Source organism: Homo sapiens, chromosome 4 (assembly GCF_000001405.40).
Source record: "Homo sapiens chromosome 4, GRCh38.p14 Primary Assembly".
Lineage (NCBI taxonomy): Eukaryota > Metazoa > Chordata > Mammalia > Primates > Hominidae > Homo > Homo sapiens.
The window spans coordinates 160,025,373-160,032,940 of record NC_000004.12 but is presented as its reverse complement, the minus strand read 5'-3'; the positions used below and the strand labels follow the sequence as shown (position 1 = coordinate 160,032,940).

The 7,568-nt window shown below is 38.7% G+C and overlaps 1 long non-coding RNA gene across 1 annotated transcript in view, besides 1 other annotated feature; it reads right to left on the bottom strand.

Moving 5' to 3' along the window:
* Positions 5,254–6,453: an enhancer, noted in NCBI's record as "MED14-independent group 3 enhancer chr4:160947640-160948839 (GRCh37/hg19 assembly coordinates)". NCBI's record gives its function as "activates an origin of replication core promoter dependent on BRD2, BRD4, P300/CBP and CDK7 cofactors, and independent of MED14, by STARR-seq in HCT116 cells {active_cell/tissue: HCT116}" and the evidence as "EXISTENCE:reporter gene assay evidence [ECO:0000049][PMID:35650434]".
* Positions 5,475–7,568, bottom strand: part of LOC107986324 (uncharacterized) — a 487,144-nt gene continuing 485,050 nt past the window's right edge. The window contains exon 3 of the long non-coding RNA XR_001741911.2: positions 5,475–5,692. This is a non-coding gene — a long non-coding RNA (uncharacterized LOC107986324). The remainder of the gene's footprint in view (positions 5,693–7,568) is intronic.

Below are 7,568 nucleotides of genomic sequence, written 5' to 3'. Positions count from 1 at the left end.
ATGTGTGTATAAAGAACAACCAAAAAATGTAGGTTTCAACAAGGATATAGATTAAAGACTGAGATAAAGTTAAAAACAGAAATAGATATAAAGAAAGAGAAATGAACATGTAGGTACATTATTATTATTCATTACATTTTACATGACCTGTTTATAAAAATAAATTTATTGAATTAATTTATTACATACATAGGACTTTTCTTTTTTTCAAAAGGATACATTCTCTATATTTTTCTTAATCCACTGAAATTCACTGGTTGTTACAGACAAAAGTATTCCTGCCTTAAAATTTGTGACTCCCTCAGGAGATTGAGACCACGGTGAAACCCCGTCTCTACTAAAAATACAAAAAATTAGCCAGGCCCGGTGGCGGGCGCCTGTAGTCCCAGCTACTAGGGAGGCTGAGGCAGGAGAATGGCGTGAACCCGGGAGGCGGAGCTTGCAGTGACCCGAGATTGCACCACTGCACTCCAGCCTGGGCAACAGAGCGAGACTCCGTCTCAAAAAAAAAAAAAAAAAAAAAAAAAAATTTGTGACTCCTAAAATAGTCGCTATTAACTTCATTAATTTTAAATTTTAAATAATATAATTGCAAGCAGCATGGTTATCATATTTAGAAAGTTGTTCATTATTTCAATCTTGTAGGGAAAAAAAGATTCAGAAAAATGAAATTCTCTGCTTTACTAGTGTTGTGAAGTCTTTGCCCTCATTTTCTTATCTATATAACAAAAAAAAATTTAATACCTTGCTAAGTTGTTGTGGGACAATAATCAAGGAGAAAGTTCTATGCATATGGTTATTTTAAAAAATTATTTTTGAGTTCATGTCCTTTGCAGGGACATGGATGAAACTGGAAAACATCATTCTCAGCAAAGTAACACAAGAAAAGAAAACCAAACACCGCATGTTCTCACTCATAAGTGGGAGCTGAACAATGAGAACACATGGACACAGGGAGGGGACTTTCACACACCGAGACCCGTAGGGCAGTGGGGGGCTGGGGGAGGGATAGCTTTAGGAGAAATACCTAATGTAAATGATGAGTTGATGGGTGCAGCAAACCAACATGGCACATGTATATCTGTGTAACAAACCTGCAGCATGTTGTGCACATGTATCCCAGAACTTAAAGTATAATAATAAAAAAAATTAAAAAAATTATTTCTATGATTGTAAAAGTTGACAATATTATTTCAATAATCAAGTAAAGTACTGCAAAATTTTTTCAATAGTTTATTAATATCAACTCTTTAGTTTCTAATACTTTTTTTTTTTTTTTTTTTTTTTGAGACGGAGTCTCGCTCTGTCGCCCAGGCTGGAGTGCAGTGGCGGGATCTCGGCTCACTGCAAGCTCCGCCTCCCGGGTTCACGCCATTCTCCTGCCTCAGCCTCCCAAGTAGCTGGGACTACAGGCGCCCGCCACTACGCCCGGCTAATTTTTTGTATTTTTAGTAGAGACAGGGTTTCACCGTGTTAGCCGGGATGGTCTCGATCTCCTGACCTCGTGATCCACCCGCCTCGGCCTCCCAAAGTGCTGGGATTACAGGCGTGAGCCACCGCGCCCGGCCTAGTTTCTAATACTTAAAAACAAAAATCCTGGGGGAATTGCTATATCCCACACAAGGAGATAAAAGTTGAAAGATGATTGGGACAGATACTAATTTTCCTTCTCTCAATGATGATTTCATTTTTTTTTTAAGACAGAGTCTTTCTCTCTCTAAAGTCTCCACTGCCCAGACTTTAGTGCAGTGGGAGATGAGTATAGCTCACTGCAGCCTAGAACTACCAGATTCAAGTGATCCTCCCACCCTAGCCTCCGGAGTAGCTGGGACTACAGGTGTGCACCACCCTGTCTGGCAGATTTTTAAAAAAAATTGTAGAGATGGGGTATTGCTATGTTTCCAGGGCTGGTCTTGAACTCCTGGGCTCAAGCAATCCTCCCACCTTGGTTTCCAAAAGTGATGGGGTTATAGATGCAAGCCACTGCAACTGGTGTGTTTTAACTTTCAAAAATATCCTACAGGAAATACAGCAGATAAAAGATGTAAAACAATAACCTAAAACCAAGTTTATAGTTGTTAAACTTTTTAAACACACACACACACACACACACACACACACCCCACTAAATTAACTAAAGTAATACTTGTAAAGTTAGATATTTAAGATATGTAACTATATTCCAGGAGTTCAGACTACCTTAGGATTTCAGCAAGGAATATGCTTTGTAAATCACAGGAATACACATCAAAGGAAAGAAGATAAAAGATGAATTTCAATAGAGGTAAAAGTATAGTTATGAAAGTCAGGTAATTTTAAGTCCAACATAGGCATGACTGATGTTATCAAGAAAAAAAAAAAAAAAAAAACAGAAAAAAACATAAAGGAAAAAAATACTAATCTAAATATTTACTAGAAGAAAAAAAATCAAAGAAAGATATAAATCTGTGAAACAAAAAAGCACATAGGTAAGGGAAAAAATCAGGAAAATTCCACCATGTCTGAGACATATACTGTCTAAACTAGTAGAATTTAAGAATGAAGAAAGATTTCACCACACCGATTAAAAGGATGTACATCATAGTCAATGCAGAAAAATTAGAAAGCAGCTTGACCTCAGGTTCCTCATCAGTCACACGTGATTTCATTATGTAATAGAGCTTTGGTTTAACCAGGGACACTTCACTCAGGAGCGCTGGCAACATCTAAGGACATTTTGGTTGTCACAACTGGGGTTAGGTGCCATTGACATCTAATGGGTAGAAGCCTGGGATGCTACTAAACATTTTGTAATGCACAGGATAGCCCCTCATAGTAAAGAATTATCTAGACCAAAATACCAATAGTTCTGAGACTGATAAATCCTGCAATAGAATAATGAAGAATGAAGTGGTGAAGAAAACAGGATGAGGCCCAAATATTCTTTACTCAGTCAGGCTAACATTTAAGTATAAAGGCAACAATAAAATATTCCAAATGCAGAAAGTATGGTGTTAGTGAGATCTTTTAAAAATATATCTTGAAAGATAAACAGCAAAATAAAATGTGAATCAAAATGAGAAACTCATAATTTAAGATTTAACATATAAAAACTGATGTCGACATTGATTCCAACTAAGCATACAGTTAACTATAAATGTCTAAATAACATTTATTTGTGATATGCAGCCTTGAAAAAGAAGACAAAATTTCAAAATATCATAAATATCATGTAGAGATAAGTGGTATGTTAGTATACGATATCAAGGCATAAAAGGACAAAGGTGAATAGCTTCTAAATAAACACAGATACAATAAACAGAGACAAATCATATGAATGTTTCTATGCCAAGTAGAATAACAAACACTTAAAAGAAACTATAGGACATAAAAAACCCACAGAAATAAGTAGTAATAGTAGACTTTAACATAATATTTGAAATTTATGACACACCATATTGTGGAAAATAAGTATGATGTGGTTTGGCTGTGTCCCCACCCAAATTTCATCTTGAATTGTAGCTCCCATAATCACCACATATCATGGGAGATACCTGGTGGGAGGTAATTGAATGATGGGGGTGGGTTTTTCCCATGCTGTTCTCATGATAGTTAATAAGAGATCCGATGGTTTTATAAAGCGAAGTTCCCACTCACATGCACACTTGCCTGCTGCCATGTAAGACGTGCAGCCATGTAAGGCCTCCCAAGTCCTGTGGAACTGTGAGTCCATTAAACCTCTTTCCTTTGTAAATTATACAGTCTCGGGTATGTCTTTATTAGCAGTGTGAAAACAAACTAATAGGGAGGAATCAGATAATCTAAAGAAGAACATTAAGTAAGTCTGTTTCTAAGTACAGAAAAGTATAAAATGTAAGAAACAATATTATCTATTGTTCAAGTTTCTATGGTACATACATGTTTTTTAAATTTTCCATGTATTGTAGGCCAGAAAATTAAATAAGTTCTAAAATATACAAATAGTTTAAAACTCTAAGCCATTCTCTGACCCCAATATAATAAAACTCATTATTTTTATTCTATTTTCTTCTTAGTAAATTTGTACTGACCATAGACTGATACATACTGAGTTATTATTATTTTCTTGACATCCTTCCATTTGTTTTTTAATCTTCTCTTTGATTACAGAATTGTTTGGATAGAATTTTAAGTGGTTCCAATTTTTAGAAACAATTTTCAATGAACAGAGCACAAGTGAGCTCTGGGAAAATGTCAAGCAACCTAATATACTTCAACTTGTAGCCCATGAAGGGTGAAGACAGGATAGCAAAATTATTTGATGTAATAATAACTACATTTTTTTCAAATTTAATACAACTATAACCCAAAAATGCAAGAATCTCAACTGGGGGCAGGAAGTGGGTAGAGCAAGATTGTGGAATAGAAGTCTACACTCTTCATCCTGACAATAACACCAAATTTTAACAACTATCTGCACATAGAAAAGAACCATCATAAGAATCAAAAATCAGGTGAGCAATTAGACCAGCTGGTTTGAACTTCATGTCACTAAAGGAGACTACCTGGTTTTAACTTCATGTCACTGAAGAAAGTAAGACAGACAGTCTTGAATCTCCTACACCATTCTTAATATTTCCCCTGGCAGCAGCCATGCTGTTGGGAGAGAGTCTGTGCACTTGGGGAGGGAGAGCACAGAACTGGAGGACTTTACATTGAATTCAGTGCTGCCCTGTCACAGCAGAGAGCAAAGCCGTGCTGGGCTCAGCCAGCCCCCATGCAAGAGGGAGCATTTGGACCTCACCTAGCCAGAAAAGAATCACCCAGCCCAGTAGCTTGAACTTCAGTTTCTCAGCACGCCTCACCACAGCAGGCTGAAGTGCTTTGGGGTTCCAAGTAAACTTGAAAGGCAGTCTAGGACACAAGGACTGAAATTCTTGGTAACTCTTAGTGCTGAACTGGACTCAGAGTCAGTGTATTAGGATTGCACATGACCTAGGGAGACACCAGATGGAATAGATAAAGCAGTGCTTGTGCCATCACTCCCCAGAGTCCAAGGCAGCTCAGCTTGCTTCTTAAGGTGAGGAGAATGAAGAGCAAAGAGGGCTTACATCTTGGATACCATCTCAGCCACAGTAGGATAGGGTATTGTGCGGCGTCATGAGATACCTGTTCCAGGCCTTAGCTCCTGGATGACATTTCCAGACACACCCTGAGCCAAAGGGGAACCTTCTGCCTTGAAGAGAAGGACCCAGTCCTGGCAGGGTTCACTACCTGCTGTCTAAAGAACCCTTGGGCCCTGAATAAGCAGAAGTAATACCCAGGTAGTATACTGTGGGCCTTGGGCTCTTAGACATGCTGCATTGAGGTGTGACCCAGCACATTCCCAGCTGTGGTGGCTACAGGCAGAGACGCCTTCTGTTTGAGAAAAGCAGAGAAAAAAGTAAAGGGAACTTTGTCTTGCATCTTAGGTACCAGCTTGGCCATGGTGGGACAGAGAAACAAGCAGGCTCTTGGGGTCTTTGAGTCCAGGCCTAAGCTCTTGGACAGAATTTCTAGACCTGTCCTGGACCAGAGAGGAGCCCCACTGCCCTAAAGTGGGGGTCCCAGGCCTGGCACACTCACCACAAGCTGAATGAAGAGCTGTTGAGCTTTAAGTGATCATCGGAGGTAGCCTGGAAAAACTCCCTTATGGGCTGAAGGCAGTGGTGGCCACAGGGAAAGGCTCCTCTGCCTATGGAAAAGAGAGAAAAAAGTGGGAAGAGCTTTATATTGTTGTTTCAGTGCCAGCTTAGTTGCAGTAGAATAAAATATTCGGTAAATTTCCAAGATTTTTTACTCCAATCCCTGGCTCCCAGACAGCATCCCTGGACCCACCCAGGGCTTGGGGGAACTCGCCACCCTAAATGGGAGACAAAAACCTGGCTGGTTTCCCCACCTGCTGATTGTAGAGCCTAGGGCCTTGAGTGAAAATAGATGGTAGCTGGAGTGGTTACAACAGGCAATGGGTGAGACCCAGTGCTGTGCTGGCTTCAGGTCTGACTCAGCACATTCCCAGTGCTGGTGGCTACAGGGGTGCTTGCATCACCACACCCTCAGTTCCAGGTGACTCAGCATAGAGAGAGAGACTCCATTCGTTTAGGAGAAAGTAAGAGAAAAAAAAAAGTTTCTGCCTGGCAATCCAGATAATTCTTCCAGATCTTATCCAAGATCACCAAGGTGCTACCTCTAAGAATCTGAAAAAACCAGTGTTATTGGCTTTGGTGCCCAAGCCTCTTTGAATACCTGGAAAATGTTCCCAAGAAGGATGGGCATAAACAAGCCCAGATTGTGAAGACTAAAATAAATACCTAACTCTTTAATACCCAGGCACCAGTGAATATCCACAACATCAAGACCATCCAGAAAATGTGACCCCATCAAATGAACTAAATAAAACATCAGAGACCAATATTGGAAAAATAGAGATATGTGATCTTTCAGACAGAGAATTCAAAATAGCTATTTTGAGGAAACTTAAAGAAATTCAAGACAACACAAAAAAGGAATTCAGAATTCTTTCAGATAAATTTAACAAAGAGATTGAGATAATAAAAAGAATTGAGCAGAAATTCTAGAGTGGAAAAATGCAATTGGCATACTACAGAATGCATCAGAGTCTATTAATAACAGAATTGAGCAAGCAGAAGAAATAACTAGTGGACTTGATGAAAGCCTATTGGAAAATACATATTCAGAGGAGACAAAAGAGAAAAACAAATAATGAAGGATATCTACAAAATCTAGAATTAAATCTTGAATACAGATCTTTGCCTGTAATCCTAGCATGTTAGGAGGCCAAGGAGGACAGATTTATTGAGCCCAGGAGTTCAAGACCAGCCTGGGCAACTGGGCAAAATGACAAAACCCCATCTCTACCAAAAAAATAGAATATACATATATATTCTACAGACATGCATTACCACACCTGGCTAATTTTTGTATGTGTGTCTGTGTGTGTGTGTGTGTGTGTATGTATATATATACACACACATATATATATAAATATAAATTTGTGTGTATGTGTGTATATATATATATACACAAAAAAATTACACAAATTTACACAAAAATTAGCCAGGTGTGGTGATGCATGTCTGTAACCCAAGCTACTCAGGAGACTAAGATGGGAGAATGTCTTGAGCCTGGGAGGCGGAGGTTGCAGTGAGTCAGTGAGTCATGATCCTGCCACTACACTCCAGCCTGATAAATAGAGCTAGACCCTATCTCGAAAGAAAAGAAAAGAGCCTCAAAAAATCAAATCTGAGAGTATTTGCCTTAAAGTGGAGGTAGAGAGAGAGATAGGGGTTGAAAATTTACTCAAAGGAATAGTATCAGAGAACGTCCCAAACCTGGAGAAAAACATCAGTATTCAAGTACAAGAAGGTTATAGTACACCAAGAAAATTTAACCCAAGGAAGACTGATTTATTATTAAATGCCTTGAAGCGTTTCACAATGAAACTTGAAATAATCAATGATAAAGAAATGATCCTAAAAGCAGCAAGAGAAAAGAAACAACTAACATAAAATGGTACTCAAATATATCTAGCAGCAGACTTTTTGGTGGAA